Source organism: Homo sapiens, chromosome 11 (genome assembly GCF_000001405.40).
Source record: "Homo sapiens chromosome 11, GRCh38.p14 Primary Assembly".
In the NCBI taxonomy this organism is placed as follows: Eukaryota; Metazoa; Chordata; class Mammalia; order Primates; family Hominidae; genus Homo; species Homo sapiens.
Window position 1 is genome coordinate 76,028,697 of NC_000011.10, and position 25,013 is coordinate 76,053,709.

General features: G+C 37.3%; 1 protein-coding gene across 10 annotated transcripts in view, besides 2 other annotated features; it reads left to right on the top strand.

Moving 5' to 3' along the window:
* Positions 1-25,013, top strand: part of UVRAG (UV radiation resistance associated) — a 329,023-nt gene that overhangs the window by 213,487 nt on the left and 90,523 nt on the right. The gene's annotated exons all lie outside the window — the stretch shown is intronic.
* Positions 3,936-4,136: a silencer, noted in NCBI's record as "peak1353 fragment used in MPRA reporter construct". NCBI's record gives its function as "represses an SCP1 promoter by STARR-seq MPRAs in K562 erythroleukemia cells {active_cell/tissue: K562}" and the evidence as "EXISTENCE:reporter gene assay evidence [ECO:0000049][PMID:32103011]".
* Positions 18,297-20,879: an enhancer, noted in NCBI's record as "VISTA enhancer hs1435". NCBI's record gives its function as "enhancer in: limb[11/11] | nose[9/11]" and the evidence as "EXISTENCE:transgenic organism evidence [ECO:0001131][PMID:17130149]".

A 25,013-nucleotide genomic window follows, 5' to 3' on the forward strand; every position in this document is an offset into this window, starting at 1 on the left:
TACTTGAAATCTGAGAGAAATGAGGAAGCTGCAGGAGAAAAGTTGGAAGCTACAGAGGTTGGTTAATGAGGTTTAAGGAAAGAAGCCATCCCTAGAACACAGAAGTACAAGGTGAAGCAGGAAGTGCTGATAGAGAAGCTGCAGCAAGTTATCCAGAAGATCTAGCTAAGAGTATTGATGCAGGTGGCTACACTAAACAACAGATTTTCAAGGTAGACAAAAATAGCCTTCTGTTGGAAGAAAATGCCATCTAGGACTTCGATAGCTGGAAAGGAGAAGTCAATGCCTGACTGCAAAGATTCAAAGGAAAAGCTGACTCTTTTATTAGGGGCTAATACAGCTGCTAACTTTAAGCTAATGCTCAGTGACCATTCTGAAAATCCTGGGGCCCTTAAGAATGATGCTAACTATACTCTGTGTTCTATAAATGTAACATCAAATCCTATATGACAGCACATCTGTTTACAACATGGTTTATTGAATATTTTAAGGCCCCTGTTGAGACCTACGGCTCAGAAAAAAATATTCCTTTCAAAATATTACTGTTCATTGAAAACACACCTGGTTACCCACAAGTGCTGAATGGAAGTTGTCTTCATGCCTGCTAACATAGTATCCATTCCGCAACCCATGGATGACTTTTAAGTCTTCTTATTTAAGAAACACATTTCATCACATTTCATAAGACTGTAGCTGCCATACATAGTGATTCCTCTGATGGATCTGGGCAAAATCAATGGAAAACTTTCTGGACAGTATTCACCATTCTAAATGCGATTCAGAATATTCATGATTCATGGGAGGAGATAAAAATATCAGCATTAACAGAAGTTTGGAAGAAGTTGATTCCAACCCTCATGGATGATTTTGAAGGGTTCAAGACTTCAGTGGAAGAAATAACTATTTCATGATAAAAGTTTAACAATGAGGAGTTGCATCTTATGGATGAGCAAAGAAAGTGGTTCCTTGAGATGGAACCTAATTCTAGTGAAGATGATGTAAAAAAAGGATTTAGAATGTTACATAAACTTAGTTGACAAGGAAGTGGCAGGGTTTGAGAGGAAGGATTGACTCCAATTGTAAAAGAAGTTCTACTGTGGGTAAATGCTATCAAACAGCATTGCATGCTACATGAAAGGCAAAGTCAATTGATGCCAAAAACTTCATTGTCTTATTTTAAGAAATTGTCACAGCCACTCCAACCTTCAGCAACCACCACCCTGATTAGTCAATAGCTATTGCCAAGTAGGCAAGACCCTCCACCAGCAAAAACATTATGACTCTCTGAAGGCTCAGATGATCATTAGCATTTTTTAGCAATAATATGTTTTTAAACTAAGATACGTACGTTGTTTTAAACTATATATTTTGTATTTTCTTTAATTTTTTCCATGAACACATGTTCAAAGATATTTTTAAAACATAATGCTATTTTCATATATACTGGGAAACAAAAAAAAAACTGTATGAGTCACTCTTTATTGAGATACTCACTTTATTTATTTTTATTTTTATTTGTAGAGAAAGGGTGCCGCTATGTTGACCAGGCTGATCTCAAACTCCTGGCATCAAGCGATACTTCTCTCTCACCCTCCCAAAATGCTGGGATTACAGCTGTGAGCCACAACACCCGGCCAAGATACTAACTTTTCTGCAGTGGTTTGGGACCAAACCCACAATATATCCAGTGTATGTCTGTACTTCAAATAGGCCGAGAGTTAACTGTCTACAGTCTGCTAAGTAGTCACGTAAGCATGTGTGCCTTGGAAGATACGGGTTAGTGAATGCTGAAGCCCTTATTCTTACAAGGAATGCAGAGCATTTTCAAACTAAATAGTTCTCACCCTGGCCCACTATTTACTTTTTTAGTCATATCCCCAGGTTCCTTCCCAGTTCGTAACCTATGCTTCAGTCAGACTGAACAATTGGTTGTTTTCCAAACACATCACAGTATTTCCTACCTTGATACTCATTGTCCATGCTATTCTATTTGTCTGGAATGCCCTCCCTAGCCATCTCTAGCATCAAAACTGTGCTTGTACATGAAGCCCTCCCTTATTATCAAAACTTTCATCGTAAGCTCTTTCTTGATTTCCCATAGTTTGGTAAACTGTAATTCTTTTGGATTCCTGTGAACTATTCTCTCTATATAGTATCACAGAAATGAAGTTCTTTATATGTACTTTAATTTAATAACAGCCCAACTCAATGATGCAGGTAGTGTATTTGAGTTATTTATCCTTGTCTGAAATATTTTCAGGGTAGAAACTGCATCTTACTTGGTGTCAGACTTCCCTGACTTGCAGAGAGGCTTGTATTTTGTAGACACTCAATAAATATTTCTTGAATTAGGAGAGTAAAAGGAACATTCAGTTTTTGCAAATTCTATTAGGTAATCTGACACTCTACTCTGTGACCCATTGTTTTAACTCTGGATGCTCTGGCCAGGACAATCATTATTTCATAGAGTCCCTTGGGACTGTGGCAAGCTATTAACTTCTGTGCTGTTGTAATCCAAGGCACAGGCATCAGCACTGATGGGGTTATGTTCAGGGGTGTGAGCAAAGAACATGTTTTAAAATAAGGAATCCCCATGGAAATTCAGGCAGTAAAGATCAACAAAATAAAAATGCAGAAGGTGGCTGCTGGGTGAGACAGGAAATGAACACCTTGTGAAGATTAGGCATTCCGCTGAGAGAGGAGAAATGTGGAAAATGAGTCAAGAGAAATTGTGCAGCTATTTCATCACTGACACTTGGAGGTATATTGTTGTGTGTGTTGTTTTTAATGAAGTGTGCTTTTATAGTGCTGATGTTATTATCTGGATGAGGAAGTCTTCTCTAGTATTACTGTCATCTCAGCTTTCTGTAACCAACTAAATTAAAATACAGTAATGTAATGGGACAGTGGGATAAGAAAGAAAACCAGATGACTCTGACATGTGACCCCAACCTGAACTTACTGCTTTTCTAGTTTTCGGTATACTCAAATAAAAATAGAGTCCAGTGTAATGCTTGCAGGGGCTGGGGGGACTGGACAGAGGAATAATATATTTAGTTAATAGTGGGGTATGTCCCACATTCAATACTGTTACATTATTAATATATGTGAAATCAGTGTTTCTCAACAGGACTCCCAACACATCAGTGAGCGTGCCAGTAGTTCATGGACTATTTGCAGTCCATTATTATTTATCATAGGACAGCATAGATGCTTTGTGTTCTGATATGAAGTAATCATTGAATTTAATAAAGCTTTATTTTATTGGTGTTGCATGAAAGTAGCTCTGTTCTTTTCTTTAATTCTTGTATGTTTGAATTTTTTGGTAAGCAAAGAATGGGAGAATGAGGGTAATTATATCAAGCCAGAGAGTTTGCAGTAGGTAATTTGGGGGAATATTTTGGTTTCCTGACAAAAATGAATGGAAGGAAAGAGTAAAAATTATTTTTAGGTAGATGTGAAATTATTTTAACTTCCAAAAGCATCTCATAATAGTTCTCTAGACAGTTTTCTAAGGATAATAACATTTATGTCCTGGGTAATGGTATCATTATAAAACAAATTTATGTCACTCTTTAATCCAGATAGTTTTAACTACCATATTTTTATACCTCTCTTTTGGATGATTTACAATTATTAAGGATGATCACCAAAAGTAGTTTCTGAATCAGATTAAATGATCAATTAGTTTTTAATAGTTGCTTTTCTTCTCTAATTCATTGAAAATGAAAAACTGATATAACATTTAATTCATATATAGTTAAATCATAAGAGAGTTCAGTTGTAAGAGGGGACATCGCAAGAAAGCCAACCATGTTTATTGAGCACTAGGACATACTAGTCACTGCACAAGATGCTAGAATTAGGTAAAGTTACCTGGCTCTGAACTGGCATCAGGATGCACAGCAAGTCAGCAGAGTCATTCTCCACATAATAAGACCCATGCTAGAGATCAGCACAGGGTTGGGTTGCAGGTAGTCAGCAGAGGCATGCTTGATGAGATGGCCCCTAAGCATCTGAGCTGCTGAGTATGGAATAGGATTAGGAGCTGTCCAAGTGACCCAGATGTAATGAAACACGTACACTGGCACAAAGCAGATAATACACCTTTCCATGGACCAAAGCCTCCACTTTCTCACCTTGCCTCATAAGTGAATTCACTTTACACTGCTGAACAGTTAACATTGAGACATGTATAAGAGAAGAGTATTAATATTTAGTCTAAGTATAAATTAAACTTACCTTCAAAGATGATTAGCTTTAAGTGGTTAATATTAAAATACATTTGTTCAAAGGATAGAAACCTATCTATAAAGTATTTTTGATCACGGATTGGTTGTAATAAATATATGACTAATTTGATTTAAACAGAGTTTCTTCCACATGTAACTATCTAACAGAGATAAGCCATGTTGGCTTTTAAATAATAAAACTTGTATATTCTAAATTAGGAAAGGAAAAATCATGGCTTTCCTGTTTCACTCTTCTGAAAGAACTTTGGCATCAGATACACCTTGAACCAGTTTATTCCACCTCTCTAGCCTCAGAATACTCTTTTGGAAAGCAAAAATAATGGCTTCACAGAAAGGTGGAGAAGAATAGAGAGAATTTATATAAAATGACCTTTGCATATAATAGTCACTCAGTAAATATTTGTATACTGATAAATGAACCTAGTAGTCACGATATTAATTTTTCCCTTCTAGTTGAATTTATCTTATATTATTCCAGTAGAAATGAGACTCATAAGTTTTTAGAATTTGAAAAATCCTTGGCTTTGAATTTAGAAAGGATTTCTTAACTAAATCACAGAAACAAGACCATATTATGAGAAATGGTCTATAAGTTTGATTTAAGAAAAAAAAACCTTGTCTATAATTCATAGCTTTTAGATTAACTAAATGTCAGGATCCAGAATATATATTTTTAAAACCTTTATTTATAAACAAGTAAAGGAGCAATCAACCTAATAAAAATATGGACATAATATATGAAGAAGCTGTTACAGAAGAACAAACCCTAGATGTTTAATAACATAAGAAAAATACTCAGCCTCACTAATAATCAGGAAATGCATGTTAAAACCAGAAGGAGATGCCATTTTATATCCATCAAACTGGCAAAAATTAGAATGTCTATTTAGTACCAGATTTAGTGAGCACATAGAGGAAGAGAAACTCTCATCCTTTGCTTGTGAGAGTTTCAGTTCATTTGTTTCAGAAAGCAGTTTAACAATACAGTTAAATCTGCAGGAACCCCACTCAACCTAAGAACCTCAATCCTGGTTATATACTAGTCTGTTGAGTAGCTGTTACATATATGCATCCTACAAATATTTATTATGTCTGTATTATATAGATATTTAAACCTTATATCTTAGTTACCATTATTGTGTTTTGGAATTATTCATAATTATATAGCTAATATTTAATTGTTTTAAGAGCCTGTGTCCTCTTGTACTATCCCTTTCAGAGCCATTATTTCTGTGCAACATTATTTTCTGTCTATTTCTATTTTTTTGAAACAAGGTCTCACTCTGTCACTCAGGCTGGAATGCAGTAGTGTAGTCATAGCAGCTTTGACCTCCTGGTCTCAAGCACATCTCCCACCTCAGCCTCCCGAATACCTGGGATTATAGTCTTATGCCAGCATGCCCAGCTATTTTTTCTAATTGTATTTTTTTGTAGAGATGAGTTCTCCCTGTGTTGCCCGGGCTGGTCCTGAACTCCTGGGCTAAAGTGATTATCCCGCCTTGGCCTCCCAAAGTGCTGGGATTACAGTCGTGAGCTACCCGCACCTGGCCCATTATTTTATTTAACGTTTTTTTAAAGGCTACTTTTTAAAAGTCTAGGATATATGTTTCTCTGTACCTAGCTTCTTTCTTTTTATTAACATAAGGTCAATGTGGGTGGTTACTTTTTTCTTATAATTCATGTCATTTTCATACACCAGTTCTGGCTTCTTGATTGGTTTTAATTTTATAGTAGCAGTTTGCCATATTTCCTTTTGAGCAAAGACTGGTGTTAATAATGCCTAGAATTTTGAGTGCTATTCATTTATATTATTGGAAACCTTTAAAAAGACTTACAAAAGCATTAATTCTTCCCATGATGCTCATTAGTTACTCCCATTAATATAAATGATGGCTCCCAGGTTCATGATGTGGAGAGTCTAGTGATGAAATACTAGAAGTATTAACTGTAGCTAGTTATGGGAATTTACTGTTGTAAATTAATTAAACACACCAATAAGCAACGGAAACTTTTTATTATTTTAATTTGTATAAATATAAGGTTGGTAAGCTAATGAGAAGTGGCAGGTCTCTTGGAGTTGATTGACACCTATACTTAAACTCTTTTAAATGTGTAGATGACGAATTTATTGAGACAACTTCTGTTGTAAGATGTTCCATACAGCGAATATTTATTTTTGAGTGTGTAGTACACAATTTTGTCATTTCCAGCTTTAAAAACTTAGTTACTAGGAGAAAAACTTTTTAGAAGCCACCTCCTAATATTGAATTTGCTGAGTCATGTTCTGTGTGAGAGATATAAGAATTTTGTATTATATTCTGGTTTCTGTATTGGTGGTTTCTGTATAAATCACAAAATGGGAGGTTCATAGTTGCTTAGAAGGAATTTGGTAAATAGCATGTTATTTCACTCAGCAATTTCTATGAGAAAATGATAGATAGTATTCCTTTCTAAGATGATGCAGTTTGGTTTAAAGAAATTTCCTTTTCTATTTTTGTATTATTTTAATTGGAAACTGCCCTGTTTTGTAGTATGCAATTTGGAATAGACACTTAACTCAGTTTTGTATTATTAAATACTAATTCAAAATCAAGAGTCACAGTCTCAGAATGATAAATATACAAATGAACCTGTTCACCTATTCATGCATTCATTAAATGTTTAATTAGTACATAGTATGTGACAGGTATTGTTCTATTGATAGGTCTTTGTGATTTAGTAAAGAACAGTAACAACAATTAAAAATGTTCTGTCTTTAAAAGAAATGGACAGTTTAAAGTAAATTCTGTAAATACTGCTGAATATCTACCATATGAATATACTTCATGCCATATATTTTTATGAAACAGACTAAGAAAGTGAGCATACTATCAGCTTATTATCTAGTTTCAGAGATAACAAAAATCGCCTTGTTTCATGCCTTTTATTTAATAACACTCCTTTCTTTACCTGGCATGCCCTTGTCTCATGAGTAAATACATTGCAAGATTCATTAGGTATCCCTAGGGGTAGAAAGAAGTACAATCTGATTTTAAGCAAAAATAAGGTTGGTTCATAGGTGGTTTGGGACCTGTCTCAAGTGTCAATTTGTCATTAAGAGTAAAGGCTCGATAATTGACTGGAAAGAGCTTTTTAAAGTTTCAGGATCAACTTAAAATTTACTTTGCTCAGAATATCTATTTAATGTTTAGTTCTCACTCCTGCAAAAATATACTAAATCAGGATCTAGTTGTTTGACAAAACTGAAGCAAAGGAACAGTGAGTAGTGTTTATCCTCTCAACTAGCCAATGAAATGAAAGGTTAAAACGTTAAATTAGGCTGGGCACGGCAGCTCATGCCTGTAATCTGAACACTTTGGGAGGCCAAGGCTGGAGGATCACTTGAGCCCAGGAGTTTGAGACTTCAGCCTAGGCAACATACTGAAACCCCATCCCTAAAAAAATAGAAAGATTAACCAAGTGTGATGGCACCCAGCTACTGAGGAGGCTGAAGTGGGAGGATCACTTGAGCCCAGGAGGTCAAGGCTGCAGTGAGCCATGATCCTGCCACTACCCGACTTCAACTTGTGCAATAGAGTGAGACCCTGTCTCAAAAAAAAAGAAAATTAAATTAGAAATACCATGCATGATTCATTGTCATGAGTTTCAAATGTGGATGTGCATAAAAGAAGTTATGGGACATGGAAAATGATTGAGAGGTGTCAACATATATCTAAGGGGAATTCTAGGAATAAAGATTAGAAGACATGGCAAGAAAGAAATATTCAAAACATGGTGGCTGAGTTAAAAAAAAAAACACAGACAATATTAAGAACAAAAAAAGGAGACACATGTGCCACACAGATTGAAAACTCATAAGAACATACTGTGAACAGTTTTTAAAAGGTAGGTGGAATAGTCTTTTTTAGAAAAAAATATAAAATAACAAAATTGATCCAAAAAGAAATGGGAAAACTGAATAGGAGCTGCTTCCAGAGTATAGTAGCATAGATATCTTGACCAACACTGAAACTGCTTGAGAAAAACAAATTCTTTAATTATATTTATTAGTTCACAAGAAAATAAAGAATACTTAGGTCAAAAACTGAGTAAAGGCAAGAACCTAAAGAAATAAGGTGAACACTGAAGCCAGCTTTTTCCTTGAAGGCATTTAATAAACTGAATAAGTGTGAATTTGATAAAACAACCTGAACAGGACAATAGAAGAAAACAAAAGTTATAGACAAATATCTTTCATACTAAGTTGCCACTTTTGTATGAAAGACATACAAAACAAAACATATGCAAGCTGAATCTGGCAATTCAGGAATGAGTCAATGGCTCAGCATTTAAAAAGCTTTCCACATAACTCACCCATTAACAGATTAAGAAAAATATCATATCATTTCAATAGATACAAAAAAAGCATTCAATAAAATTAGATACTTATTTAGAAAGGCAATATACGTTTTGATTAGGAACATACATTCTCAGCAGGGCGCAGTGGCTCACGCCTGTAATCCCAGCACTTTGGGAGGTTGCAGCGGGCAGATTGCTTGATCCCAGGAGTTAGAGACCAGCCTGGGCAACATTTCAAGACTTTGTCTTTACAAAAAAAAAAAAAAAAAAAAAAAATCAGCTGGGCGTGGTGGCATACCTGTAAGTCCCAGCTACTCAAGAGGCTGAGGTGGGAGAATCACTTGAGCCTGGGAGGTTGAGACTGCAGTGAGCTGTGTTCACACCACTACACTCCAGACTGGGTGAAAGAGCAAGACCCTGTCGCAAGGAAAGGGGTGGTGGGGGCGGGTACTTAAATTCTGGAACCAGATAATGAGAGTTTGAATCCAGACTGTTATTTAGTGTAAATGGTAGGCAGAATTTGAAACAGCACTCAAGATTCCCATTATCCTGGTGTACATGTCCGTATAAATGTCTTCCCCTTCAGTGTGGGCAAGACTTGTGAATATATAGTCGGCCCTCTCAATCTGCAGATTCAACCAGCCACGGATAGAAAATATTTAGACAAAAACAAACAAAAGGTAACAATACAAAAATTTTAAAAATACAGATTTTTTTTTTATTTTCAAAGTATTTAGGAATTCTTTAATTAGAAAATTAAAGGCAATGGGATTATCTATTGGTTCTAGAAGTACCCATGAATTAAATCACTTACATCTCCCACTTAAAAAACAAAACAAAACCTTAAATCACATTGCTGTTAAGCTTTCATACAGTAAGAAATAAGACCAAGCTATGCTGGAGTACAAAAACCTGAAATTGTGAGCATGAAAATAATTTATTGATTAGACATCTTGCTTACTCAAGCATTAGGTCTACTGGAGATAGAATTAACACAGTTCATGAAAATGGAAAAAAATTCCATTCAGCACCTGCTTCCTTTCAAATTTCCTGGGGACATGGTTTATGCAAAAAAAAAATACAAATTGCAAAAAAAATACAAATTTAAAAACAACAGACATAACTATTTACATAGCATTTGCATTGTATTAGGTATTATAAGTAATTTAGAGATAATTTGAAGTATACAGGACTTATGTACATAAGTTATATTTGTAGGTTATATTAAAATACAAATTTTATATCAGGGGCTTGAGCTTACTTGGATTTTGGCATCCACAAGGGTCCTGGAATCAATCCTCCACAGATACTGAGAGATGAATGTAATAGAATTTTCCTCCCATGATTAAGGTTCCCAACCATTTGACTTTGAGTTAATTTAAAGCAAAATTATCTGTGTAGGCTTGGCCTAATCAAGTGAACCCTTGAGAGCCAAGAAGCAGTAGCAGATGCTCTTCTGCTAGCCCACAAGAAAGCAAACAGAACTCCTCATGGAGGGAGCCATGTGGCTAGGACCTGAGGGTGGCTCCTAAGAACTGGGAGTGAAATATGGCTGACAGCTAGCAAGGAACTAGCTCAGCCCTACCACCACAAGGAACTCAATTCTGCCAACAACCTGAATGAGCTTGGAAGATGACCCTGAGCTACACATGAGAAGCCTGGCCAACACCTTGATTTTAGATTTCTTAGATCCTGAGCAGAGAACTCATTTATACTGTGCCTAGAGTTCTGACCTACAGAAACCATGAGATAGTAAATGAGTGTTTTAAGCTGCTAAGCTTGTTTTATTTTTTAAAGCAGTCATAGAAAACTAATATATTGTGTGACTTTGGACAAGTTACTTGATCACCCTATGTGCCTTACTGTCATTGTTAAATGGAGAGATAACAGCACCCACTTCATAGGGTATCTAGGTGGATTAAATGAGTGAATACATGGAAAATATATGTGGTACTTGGTAAAGCATCAAATGTTGGCCAATAATAGTAGTAGTGGTTGTTATAAGAACTCATTGTAAAGTAGAAAATGAAAGGAATTTCCTTAAAATGCCAAAAGATGATTATCACAAACCTATAGCAAGCATTAGACTTAATAGTGAAACTTTGTAAGGACTCCACTAAAATCAGAAGGCACATAAGGATGCCAGTTGTCTTTACAATAAAATATTGTATTTGTGGCCCTGGCCAATAGAATTATATGAGAAAAAGAAATGAAGTTTACATATTTGAAAAAAGGGAAAAAAAGCTTACAAACTGAAAATGAATACAATACAAGCACCTAGCAATATGGTTAATAAAAAGGGTGAGGCCAGGCGCAGTGGCTCACACCTGTAATCCCAGCACTTTGGGAGGCTGAGTCAGGTGGATCACCTAAGGTTGGGAGTTTGAGACCAGCCTGGCCAGCATGGCGAAACCCTGTCTCTACTAAAAACACAAAAATTAGCCGGATGTGGGGGTGGGCACCTGTAGTCCCAGCTACTTGGGAGGCTGAGGCAGGAGGATCGCTTGAACCCAGGAGGCGGAGGTTGCAGTGAGCCAAGATTGTGCCACTGCACTCCAGCCTGGGCAATGAGAGCAAAACTCTGCCTCAAAATTTTAAAAAATAAATAAAAAGGGTGAAAGACCTTTATCAAAGAAAAATATAAAACATTATAAAAATGATAGTGAAAAACACAAAAGTTCTGAATAAATGGATGCACACACATATATACATACCTTGTTTAGCTATGCCTTATGCTTCTCTGATTTGGCATAATACTATTTGTATATATATTTTTAAGTTGTTTTTGAATTTGAAATAATTCATTGCAGTATATTGTAAATCTTTTTTTCCCTGGGCATTATCAAGTGTTCTCTGCCTATAGCCAAGTAGAAGAACTTTGACCCATAAAGACTAACTAAAGTATGCAAATAACAGCACTAGATCTGCAGCAAAGAAGTAGAAGAAGCGGCCGGGCATGGTGGATCACGAGGTCAGGAGATCGAGACCATCCTGGCTAACACAGTGAAACCCCGTCTCTACTAAAAATACAAAAAATTAGCCGGGCATGGTGGCGGGCGCCTGTAGTCCCAGCTACTTGGGAGGCTAAGCCAGGAGAATGGTGTGAACCTGGGAGGTGGAGCTTGCAGTGAGCCGAGATCACACCACTGCACTCAGCCTGGGCGACAGTGTGATACTCCATCTCAAAAAAAAAAAAAAAGGAAAGAAAGAAATAGAAGATGCACAACACACTGGATTTTTGGTTTTTTGTTTGTTTGTTTGTTTTGTTTTGTTTTTTGGTTGGGGCGGGGACGGAGTTTTGCTCTGTTGCCAGGCTGGAGTGCAGTGGCGCGGTCTCGACTCACTGCAACCTCTGCCTCCTGGGATCAAGCAATTCTCGTGCCTCAGCCTCCCGAGTAGCTGGGATTACAGGCACGCGCAACCACACCCGGCTTAATTTTTGTATTTTTAGTAGAGACGAGGTTTCACCATGTTGGCCAGGATGGTCTCGATCTTCTGACTTTGTGATCCGCCTGCCTTGGCCTCCCAAGGTGCTGGGATTACAGGTGTGAGCCACCGGGCCTGGCCAACACACTGGATTTTAAAATGCAAGTGTTAAGTGGAAATAGAAAACACGGTAACAATCAGCAGACAAGGAGGGTTTGGTTGAAGTTACTTGACAATAAGAAGAATATCATGCACATTACTGCAACCCTAGAAAGACTGATTAACAATTATATGAAAGTATATCAGAAATGAGTTTGTGAGTGAAAATTTTAGCACATAAATAGCAAAAAAAGAAAAAAAATTCCAATGCAAGAACCCTTAGGGAAAATGGTTAAAAGACAAACCACTCAATTAAAAAATTATCAAAGGGTATTGTATCAATCATGTTTCAGTCAGAAAAGCAGAATTAGTGTGAATATTATGGTCTGATGGATTTATTGGGACAAGATCGTACGCAATTGTGGAAGAAGCTACAGAAATAAGAGTGCAAAAGCAGGGCTTGGAGATCAGAGAAAAGTCACTACCCCAGCCCTTCTGAAGCTCTGGTGCAGGTAGACAACTCAGGCAAAGAAGTAGGAAGTGAGGTATATCCAGCTGCTGCGTGGAACCCCAGAGGAGAGCAGGTGGAGACATCTATGGAAGGCTGTTGCCACTGCATCTGATAGTGGGAAGGGAGTTGGTATTGGTCAGCAGGGCCAGCAGCTGGGAAGAAGAGCTAGATGCAGAATGGAAGCACAGACACCAAATGGAATCTGCAAGCAGCCTTGCATCTGTGGATTACTGTGTCTAACACCATGCCCTGCCACCATGCCAGTGTAGTGGCTGCTGCCATGGCCAGTTATTATCTTTGGAAGACAATGAAGTGAATTCTATCTTCCAAATCTTACCCAAATTTATCTTTTGTTCATCTGTAACCTGGATCCATATAGGCAGTCGTCTTCTGGTAAATACTTCCAGCTTAGCCAGGTTGACACAGTTAAAAAATTACAGTGGATATAAACAGGCCTTATATTATATTCTAGTAATACAAAGATTAATAGCAATAATAGTAATCACTCAGAAAATTATAGTTGCTCTTGCGATCTTTCAGGTACTGTTCTACACGTGAATTGTCACAAAAGCAGTATGAGATTAATGATATTATTATCTACATTATATTCACAAATTGTGTCACAGAGAGTTCAAGAAAAAATACTTCCAAGACTACATGTTGTTCTCTAGGGTTAGCAGTACCAACAATTTGTCAGAATCTAGTAAAACGGTTTCGAGTACATACTGTTTAGAAGTTTGTCCCCTAGAGAAACTTGCTCAAAGGAGGGCATATAAAGATGTTTAGTACATCATTACTTGTACTGGTGAAAAAATTAGAAACAACCTAAATCCCCTTTAGTAAGGGAGTGGAGAAATAAAATATTGAACATCCATAAGATGGAATACTAATCAGGAGTTCAAAGGAATATTTTAGATACACACACAGACAAAAATAGCTTTCAGAAAACACTATGGAGTGAAAAAAAGTAAGTTGCAGAATGGTACGTATGGTTCATTGTTTTTCATAGAAACACTTGTATTTTAAAAGTATAAAAAGCAGTAAACACAGATATTAACCAAATTATAAAAGGAGTGGCTTGTGGAGAGAAGATATGACAGGTGCTGTTGGTTACCTAACCATGGTCATTCCTGTTTCTCAAGAGGTCCCTATTGTTAGTAATTAACTCTCTTCTTGGGTATGTGGAAAGTGGGTTCCAGTCTCAGTGCCAGGGAGTGAACTACAATTGGCTTTTTACTAATCATGTGATCCCACTGCACTCAACAGTGATGGATTTAGGAGTTGATTCACAATTCTGGCCAGTTCTATGGGGTACTGCTGGGAATAGTTTTATGCACTAAGACAGACACGTGGCTGTGATGCTGGTAATATTCAATTTCTTGGTCTGGGTGCTGGTTTCATAAAAGTATTAATTCTGTGAACATTAAGGGAGTTTGCCCTTACCTATCTGTATGTTATACATTAATAAAAAGTTTATATATTAAAAAAGACACACAGGAGAAAAGTCTGCCATTTTCTACTAGATGTCTCTACAGATGAGAGCTGATTGTGTACCAACCATCCTGTGATCATGAATGGGCCTTGCCCAATTTTCTAAGGATGGCAGAGTGGAAAGATGGGAAGACCTGGGTCCCAATTAATGTAATAAAGTTTCTGAGTTAGCCATTTCTTTTTCTTCTTTGAATCAGTGATTTGGTTTTTCTGTCACTTGAGGTTAAAATGATCCTAACTAATGGAGGAAGGGGGAGTCCCTGAATTGGTAAACAAAGAAGGCTCACTTGATCTGTAATGTTTTATTTATTTTAACTAAAAAATAATATCTGTTGTCAACTCTGCGTAGTGAGTATGTAGGTCATTATTCTCTAATTTTAAAATGAAGTGGGTAGTATTATTTAAACTGTTCTTTAATTTTTTTTAAAAAAAGGAAGAAAAAGTATCAGATGAGTTGTTGCTCATCAGGAACAAAAATGAGGGAGTGATTATTTTAAGTTGAGGGGCAACTGGGAAATAATATTTCTCAGCAAATGAATCAAAAGCCAATTTGTTTATATTCATTTAATAAATACTTAGTGGGCTTTTACTGTGTATAAGCTACTGTGACATTCTGTTTGGACCTATATTTGAAATCACTAGGTTTTTGTAAAGAACATCTTGATATATTGGTATGTGTCTTCAATAGGAAGTTATATGTTCTAGAGGACACCCATATGTCTGGGTTAAAGTCTGTATTTTAAATTAGAGTGTCTCTAGTAGTATATTCAAATTTGGCAAAAAACTTATGTAAGTATTTTTGTATGATACAGAAACATATGTTTCCATCATTTAGCTAAGTAAAATTCATAAAACAAATTATTCTTATGTCTAGTAGAAGTGTACATAGAATTCTGACTCCCAAGTTTGTATTATTTCTTGAGATAGTAACCATGCTCAACCCTCAAATTATGACATACATATGTATGTGTTCCAAGATACAATAATTTAAAGAAAGTCTTTGGTTAAAAATACACACTGTGGTGTAAGACCTGAGTTAGAATCCAGCTCTTTGTCACCTTAACCCTGGGCAAGTTACTTCTCTAAGCTTCAGTATGGGGAATAGTGTCATTGTGGAGTTTGTATGTAATGGAAACCTCAAATTAACAATGACTTAAATAAAATTTTATTTTCAGGCATAAAAATCCAGGGATCAGTAATCCAGGGCTGGAGTGGCAGTTCCGTAAATGCTTCAGGAAATGCAGGCTGCTTCAAGGTCTCTGCTCTGCCATCCCTGGATTGTGGCCCTCATGGTCCAAGATGGTTGTTGGAATGTCAGTCATTATGTAGCCAACAGGAAGTGGGCATTCCTCCCTCCTCTAAGGACTCCTCTAAGGACCTCTGTAGGAGGTTGAGAAATGTCTTTTTTCTAAGTGGCTTTTAAACTTCAGGGGTTCTGTTAACAACAGAAGAAGAGAATGGGCATTGGGGCACAATCAGCAGTCTCTGTCACAGGGTTGTTTTAAGAATTAACCAGTACATATAAAGCCCAGCACACAGAGCCTGACATGGAAACAAAGGCTGCTATTTTAATCACTAGTAGTAAATGTCAAACTTCTGACTGAACAAATGTGCTTATCTTTTCTCACCAAAATGCCAATGAAATAACAGTATACGGATTAAAATTTAAAAAGCAGGCCAGGCGCCGCGGCTCACGGCTGTAATCCCAGCACTTTGGGAGGCTGAGGCGGGCAGATTGCCTGAGCTCAGGAGTTTGAAACCAGCTTGGGCAACACAGTGAAACCCTGTCTCTACTAAAATATCAAAAACATTAGCCGGGCATGGCAGCATGTGCCTGTAGTCCCAGCTACTCGGGAGGCTGAGGCAGGAGAATTGCTTGAACCTGGGAGACGGAGGCTGTAGTGAGCCGAGATTGTGCTACTGCACTCCAGCCTAGGCTACGGAGCGAGACTCCATCTCCTAAAAAAAAGAAAAAAGAAAGAAAAAAAATTTTAAAAAGCATAAGTAAGGAACAGGAGAGGCAACCTCCAGAGCAGAGAAACTGTGAAATCAACAAAATTGTGAGAACTGAACAGCAGGTGAAAGTAGCAATTGACGTAGCAGACTGGAAAAATGAAAATCTAAGAGCTCGCAAGGGGGAAGGTTAAGAAGCAAGCTGATTCATGCTGCAGAAGTCCAGAAAGTCTCAGAATTGGAGGCCAGGAGTCTTTGAAGGTGAGTCGGGTATGTCTGGAAGTCTGTATTAGAAGCCAGTATACCCTGACAACCTCTCTCAGGCAACTACCTTTCACTTCACCAGCAGAAAACCTGATGTTTACTCTAGAGAGGTCGAACTAGACTAATGCTGGATTCAGAGACAGCTAGCATAACTGAGGGCAGAGGTGCCAGCTGAAAAAAGGAATTGATTGTACATATAAGAACGTGGAAAACTGATCCAAGAGAAGATACATACAGCTTCTTAGAGTTGTACATCTCCATATGAAATTTCCAGTTCTCTGCTAATAACCCCAGAGTGAAACCTGCCTTTTGGCCAGTTCTGTCAATGCACATCTTTCAATATGTGTGCTCTTTAGTGCCTTGCTTTTAAAAATGATTAACCAAAGAATTACCAGACATTTGAGGAAACTTGAGAAGCCAAAATCATGAAAAAGAAATGTGGAGGAAAGAAAGAATATAGGGATAAATAAAAATCAATAGTTTGTTGGGATTTTTTTTAGGAGACTTTAAATAATATCCTCAGAGAGACAAGGGAAAGTACTATGTCCAAGAACAAAAACAAGATGATATAAAAATGAACATTTAGAAAAGATGAAGCGTGGCAAATTAAAATGAAGGAAGTGTTTTAAAAATTCAACAGAATGCTGGAGGTAAAGTTGTTTTTCTCTTAAAAAAAAAAAAAAAGCCGGAGATCAAAGATAAGAAAGAAAAGATAAGAAATTAGAGGATTTCCTCAAATATTTGATGATCCAACAATCCAGATAGCAGTGAGTACAAAAAAGAAACAGAAAAGGGAAGGTAGGAAGTTATCCAACAAATAATAATGCAAGAAAATTCTAATAATTAAAATACTTGATTTCAAATGGAAAGAGTCGAGCCCAGTGAGTGCCTAGCACAATAACATTTTAAAAGCCCACACTAAGGTACATCACTGTGAAATTATGGAATTCTAGAGGTAAAGTGAAGATTCTAAAAGCTTGCAGAGAAAAAAAAATACATACAAAGGAATAGGAGTCATAATATCCGACTCCTCAAAGGCAGCACTGAAAGTTAGAAAGCAATGGAACAATCCTTCAAAGTACTGAGGGAAAATTATTTCTATAACCTATATTTAAATCAAGCTATCAGTCAAATAAAAGGGTAGAAAAAAGACTTTTCAGGCATGAAAGTCCTATGCACCTTTCCTAGGAAACTTCTGGAAGATGTGCTCTATTAATATAAAGGAATAAACCAAGTAAGAAGAAAACATTATTCATGGAAAAGGAGGGATCTCAGGGTGAAGGGAAACCATAGATGATCAGCCCCCGCACTGGCCAATGGAGCAAGAGATCGAAGGCACCAAGAAAGAGTGAAACTGAAAGAGGATTTAACCATAGCAAGAGGGAATTTTCATTGCTTCCAGGGGTTCTGGGAATAAATTAGTGAGAGGTACGTAAATTTAGCAAATGAAAAAACTAGGTTGTTATTAACTCCAGGGAAAACCAAGTTTAAAAGAATTAAAATATGATACATTATATGGCTCTGCTCAAAAAAATAACATGGTTATAATACTGTAATGTTGCATACTGATTTAACCAAAAATTATGATGTTGACCCTAGTGAATGGATTGGAGGAAGGGGAAGTGTAGGTATTTTGGAAGAGGTGGGGAAGCAGTGTGTAAGAGAGCTATATCCTCATCTTCCCCAGTATATTGTCAGTAGATCATTTTTAAAGCCATAGGGTCGAGAAACAGGAATAAAAGGATATTAATTAGAAACATAGAGGGAAAATACCAGGGGGAAAAAGCAGCCTAAAGTGATGAGAATAATAAGCTTGGAGGTCTAGGAATGGAGATAAAGCTCTAGGGTATTTTAACTAATAAACATGTAAACTAATGTTTTTAGTATCAGGCTTGTAGAACATTTTGTTTTTTCAACCATGTATATGTTTTATTTTGATAAAAAAACATTGATTTTTAAGTGTGCTTTTGGTGGCTTCATTTGTACAAAGTCTTTGCAAACTAACAATACAATTCAGTGAACATTTATTCAATACCTGCTCTGTTAGACCATTGTACAAGAGACAGACATGTAAACATATGATTGTAAAACAAAGCCTAATGTGATTACCTGCTCCCAAATGATGAATAAATACTGATATCTCATAGAAGCACCTCACTTCTTTTGGGACTAGGGGAAGGCTTCAGAGAGGATAGAACATTTGCACTGGGCCCTGAAGGGTGGGAGCAATCTGAAGAGGAGGTTCAGTGCCAGCTGTGGCCAGTGTTGTCCAATCCCACCATCACTGGAAAAGGAGATGTGTTTAGGAAAGAAGTCTGGTGGAGCTGTGGGAGGCTGTTTTGACTTCTCTGCCTCTCCTAGACATTTATATTAGTCATTTCTTCCTGAGGATTTTCTCCTCCCTGCCCTATCACCCAGACACCCTTAATTTTAGTATTGACTTTACCATGCTGAGTTATATTGTGGTTCTCTCCCCACTGGCACCCTGCCTCTTAAACTTTTGGTCTAATTTAGAGAAGGACAAGGGAAGGGAAAAGAAAATATTGGTTTCACCTGGCCAGATGTAGATTCCCGAATATAAAGATAGGAACTCTCTTTCCTAACCTCATAGGCTACTAGGTATAGCTGTTATCTTTTTTGAGGCACTAAGATTAAACTGTCATTTTCACAGTTTGAACGTAATTTTTAGAACCCTCAAGAGTAATATAGGACACATCTAATTTTTTCAAAGAAGTATAATTGTTTCACAACTATAAAATATTTCTCTGTGAAGATGCTTTTCAGAAGTAACTGGGCAAGTCATTATGGTGTGTGTACATGTGTAACATCCTCCAACTTTAGAATTTTGTGCCCTGGATTTGTTTTCTTTTATATTGTTGGGTCCAAAAGAGGAAAGGCTGGCTTAGAACTAAATAGCAGAACTAAACCATATGTTTTATACCAAATTAGAAACAGGTGAAGGTTGTTAAAATCCAGCAAGCACTTAGAAAAGCTTGAGACACAAGTTTGTATTAAAGGCAGGTGGTTATATGTACAATAAAAAACAGTCACCAGCACACTGGCTGATTGATACATATGTGATTGATCTTTTTGGATAAAAACAAGGAGGAGTTAATAAATCACTGCACATAGCTATAAAGATGTTTGGGCTTGAAAGCCTAGCCTGTAAGAGCAAATGTGGGCCCTGAAGGAAATTTATGAAGCCTAGATCCTTTTAGCTTTACTTAACAGCTAACATCTGACTGACCCAGGGGGACCATGGAAATTTATTGCTGGGCCATTCAAATATTTAAGCTGTTGTGTGATGCAGAACAGGTAAAGATTAGCCCAATAACAAATATGAGGCTATAAAATAAAATGAGATTTCGATGACTTGTAAGTACTTGTCAGAGGTCAGCTCCAAATGACTGGTCAGAAATGGTAAAAACTTGTTGATAATTAAAGGGGATTGACTATGACAACCTAGATGTTTGCATTGGTTGCTGTCAGATCAGTGATCCTTGGAATTTCCTTCTCCTTTGAAGTCCATGCTTAACAAAATGACTTAGGGGCCTCTAAATTGTCTTTTTGTGCTCTGAAATTGGGCAAGATGATGAATTGAGGTGATTCCTTTTGCAATTTTATCATTGAAATATGTCTTTCTCAAATACATTCTGAATATAATGCAATTCCTAGACAGCATATTCACTTTAGAAAACTGACTTTAGCTAACTTATGTGTGTAATTTTGAGCATTGACATCCAGAAAGCAGGTAAAGTTTTTAGGCTTTTTATGATAGATGATCTAAAATCAGCCTTTAAAACTTAAGTAGTTTAACAGATTTATGCACACCATTATTGAAAAGTTGATTTAGTGGAATTAAGTGGATGTAAGGAACATGGCTGTGCTGCAGCCAAGCAGGCATAGGGCAGCAGGCATAAGCCGAGGTAAACAGCCCACATGACTCAGCGGGATTGGGGCGCAAGCGCACAGTATCATATCTTATATAATCATAGCCATGTAGACACAGCATAGAGAAGCTCCCCACCTGGCTCTCAGCCGCTATTGTTTGTGTAGTGTATAAATGTAACACTAACCCTGTGAAGGGGCTGCTGAATAAAGCCATGTCTCATCTACCTGCTGTCTCTTGAGTGTTCTTCCAGCTCCCTGCCCCACATCCACCCACTCCGCTCAGCCCTCAGCTGGGGCTGGAATCTGACCCTGAGCATGACAGTGGATTTTTCAAAAACTTTCCAAATATTCTACCCACATTTATTTAAGCCCCAAAAGCAATAATGTATATAATATTGTTAATAGGACTATGGAAGTTACATGAATGAGATCTACAGTTATTGGTATTGACAATCTTTGCCTTTTTGACTTTAAACATAAAATGTAGATTTGATGGTTTTCAGAGTGCCAGCTTATCAAATCACTTGGTAAATTTGGCAGTGATTTGGCATATGAACATCTGATTTGTGGGGAGAAGAAATCCCTTAGTTTTTAATAGAAATCTTGTATGAAATGAAATTTACAAATAATACAGCTTTACAAAATGGGGTTATTACTTGATGGAGAGCATGGAATAGAATAAAAAGCAGAGGCTTAGAAGTCAGACAGGCATGGGTTGGAAGTAGCTCCGCCACTTCTACTTCACCCATACATTCACCCCTCCCTCCATTCCACAAATAAATGTGTTCCAGATGCAGGGCTCTTGGAACTGGGATACAGCATCAGTAAGGACTTCGGCTCATAGTTCACATTCCTTTGGAAGATTCAAGGAATAAACAAGCAACTACAATACAGTGTCAAAGGTACCCTGTTAGGGATTGTACAGGGTTCGTGAAGACACATGGGGAGAAATAACTGATTCAAACTTGGGGCAGGGGTGAAGTGAATTGGAGATGGGTGGCTGTTGTGGAGTGTTAGGAAACGCTATGTGACCATGGGCACTAAATTAATAGTGCCTGCAGGACAATTGCTAGGATTGTATAGATAAAGTATAATAAGTACAATACCTGCTGCATAATAATATTCCATAAATGCAATCCAGCATCAACATCATTGTTATTGCTGTCATCTTATCAGTACTCACTGGCGTTTGCTCTAATAGTAGACGGCTCTACCTGCTGTTAATCTGTGGCAAACACCATTCTGTAATTTAGGATCTTCTCTCAACCAAATAATTTTTCTTTTGAGCAGAACTCAAAGCACTTTCTAAAAATAAGAGTTGGTTGTCTAGGTATATTAAAACCAAGAAAGAAAGAGTAATAAGAACATACCTGAATCTTGAAATCTTCCGTATTGATTCCTGTGTTTTGTTTTTTAATTCACAGAACTATATGTTACTTAGTTCTCCTTCAGTATTTACTTAATATATTCATTTGTTTAATCATTCATTTGCAGATATTTGTTGAATACCCACTTTCAATAAGAATCTGAGCTTAACACCCATGTCCTCAAGGAAATTGCGTTTTAATTCAGGAAGTAAGACATTTGTATAAACAGACATTTGTATAAAATATTGAGTAGAAAGTGCCAGGTGCATAAGAATACTTTTTGATTTCAGAAGGCAACAAAATGAATAAAATATGCTGTCTCTCTTGAGACACTTACAGATAGGAGTGGAGGAAAAGAAAAGGGAAATCAAGCATACCGTTAAGAAAGGTAATAATAATAATTGAATGCCTGCTGTATCCTACTAACTGTGCTGGGTCATAGATTTTTTTTAAATGCATTTTGTTATGTAGATTTGAGGTTGAGTCATAGATTTTCTTGTTTAATTTTCACAGCAATCCTTAAAGATTGCTATTATTAAACCTATTTTAGAGTTTTGGAAACAATTTCAGAGTAGCATGTTCTAGTTCATACCACAAGTGAATAACAAAGTTCTGTCCCTCTGACTTCAAAGCCTTAACTTATTGTACCTAAATAGCCCTTTTGCCTTTCTCCTCTTCTCATCTCAAAATAGGTATCAGCACAAAAATTAAATAAACAATTTTTATATAAAGGATTGAGTACCTGTTATCAGCACTGTATAAGGAAGCAATTTATAGACAATATAGAATTAGGTGTCCTGATACGTTTAAGCAAATCAATATTATATGCACACATTGTGAAGTGTTGTCTTTAGATATTTCAAGTGGTGAATAGGTTTTCTTCCAAATTTATGTTCCAGATGGAAAATATCTTCTGGCATTACCAAGTATTTATGCACCTTGCATGCTTAATTGTGGATTTGGTGTTTTTTTTTTTCTTAACATTTACAGATTTTTGTGGGAAACAGGTGCTGTTAAATCCAGGCAAATGCAGGATGGCTGTTAATGTTGTGGAATGTGATTTTGATTTGCTTGGCAGAATTTTTATTTAACAAAATTGACTATTAAAAAAAGACATGGTTTCCATCCTTTAATTTTACTCTGTTCACTGAAATTTGCCTGTGGACTGTTTTTCAACAGTTACAAAAAGGGTGTGGAAAAACTGGAAGGTTTCTATAAGGAAATTGATATTGAGTTCTTTAACAATTTCCACAGCCCTGCAACTTACAAGTAAAAAAAAGGAGGGGGGATTATTTTTAACCTTCTTACTAAAATTACCTGGAATTCAATTTCCCTGAAATTCCATTCTTTTTTTAGTATAGCTCTGTCTAAAATATTGTATATAATATTGGCAAAGAGAATGTTCTGGTGTAAATCTTCTCATTACATGATTTCTCCTTTAAAAACTTTGGGGTGATATTTTATTTCCTGTTATATCAAATTTAACCTCTTTTGGTTGGCACATACGTCTCATATTTTCTCTTTTTTCTTCCCCCAAAGAAGGAGGAAAAAACAATCACTCCTCTTTTTGTTCTTCCATGAGGACTTTTAGGATAGAGATCAGCCCATGGTCTGGCGTGGTGTGTGTAGAGGGCCCTACCTAATCTGTCACATACCTTCCTATGCAACTTCAAAGTCGTCCCTTGCCATTCCTCCTTCAGTCCAGTTCTGTTGGCCTTCTTGCCAATCCTTGAAGCAGCATGTCTCCTCCTTCCACAGGGCCTTTACACAAGCTGCTTCCTCTAACCAGAACATTTCTTCCTTTAGCACCTACCCATCTCATTTATTAGGCTGATTATATGAGCACTATCTGTCTAACCCACTGGACTTTAACCTCATGTTTGTGTTTGCCCAGCCTTATATCCCTACCACCTAACACCATACCTGGCACATAGTATGAGTTCTTTGAAAACTTGTTGAATGAATAAACAGCATCCACAGTGGTCATTTTCCTTCATCCCCCCGGTTATGATGAAAGAGTTGCCCTTGTCTCACCTGCTGTCTAAGGCAGACCCTTCTGTACTCTCACCTGTGTGGTAAGGAAGCTATCCTCTTTCACCTCAGGACATGTTTCCTGCTGTGCCTCACCACATCCCTGCAGCTGCTGAGCTCCCCTCTCTCTATGCCAGGCTTCCCACCAGCTTCATTTCCTTACCTCTAGCCACTGCTGAACTCATACCAGTCGGCCTTCATCCCCTGCTACTTCAGTTAAACTTTCATTTACCATATTATCAGCGCTACCTACCAGTGAACCCACAGAGTCAATCCAGTAGACGTTTAATTTTGAGATTCGCTTGACCTGTCTGCAGCACTTAACTGTTGATAGCGTCCTTCTTACATTAGCAGTTTGTCTGAGCTTTTCTGGTGAGATACTTCTTGGTTTTCCTCATATCTTTTAACCAGTCCTTTTCTGGCTCCTTCTCCCCATCCTTCGTTCATATTCTCAAGGCTCTGAAGTGGTTCTCTTGTATACCATTTCTTTAGGCCATCTCATTCATACCTATGGCTTTGGTTTCCATCTAAAATGTTTATAATTCCCTATTCGATATTTTCGGCCCAAATTTTGTCACCTCATTTCATTTATATATAATAAATATACTTTGTTTATATTATAGAGTATCTATATACTATAGAGTATATAGGTATAAATATATATAGTTTATAAGTGTATTATATTTATATATAATAAATATATAGCCAGGCACTGTGGCTCACGCCTGTAATCCCAGCACTTTGGGAGGCCAAAGTGGGTGAATCACCGAAGGTCAGGAGTTCAAGACCAGCCTGGCCAACATGGCGAAACCCCATCTCTACTAAAAATACAAAAATTAGCTGGGTATGGTGGTGTACACCTGTAATCCCAGCTACTCAGGAGGCTGAGGCAGGAGAATTGCCCCAACCCAGGAGGCAGAGGTTGCAGTGAGCCCAGATCATACCACTGCACTCCAGCCTGGGCAACAGAGTGAGACTCTGTCTCAAAACACACACACACACACACACACACACACACACACAAAAATAAATATGCACCTGCTCCTTCTCCCGTGTTTCCCATCACAATTCACAGATACCGCCATCTGCCTCGTTTCTCAATTGAGAAACGAAAGGGTCATCTTTGACTCCTCCCCTCTTTACCATTTTGTAACAATCAATCCATCACAAAATTCTTTCAGTTCTTCCCACATATCTATTCACATATCTTCCTCTCTACTTCTGGAACCCTAACCAAAACTGTTATTTCTGGCCTGGATTTTGCAATAACCTCCTATCCAGGTCCTGTTCACCTTTATTTACCACACTGTAGCCAGTCTGGTCTTTAAAAAACATAAACACCCATGCTTTAAAAAGTTATTATCCTCCCAGCTGGGCACGGTGGCTCAC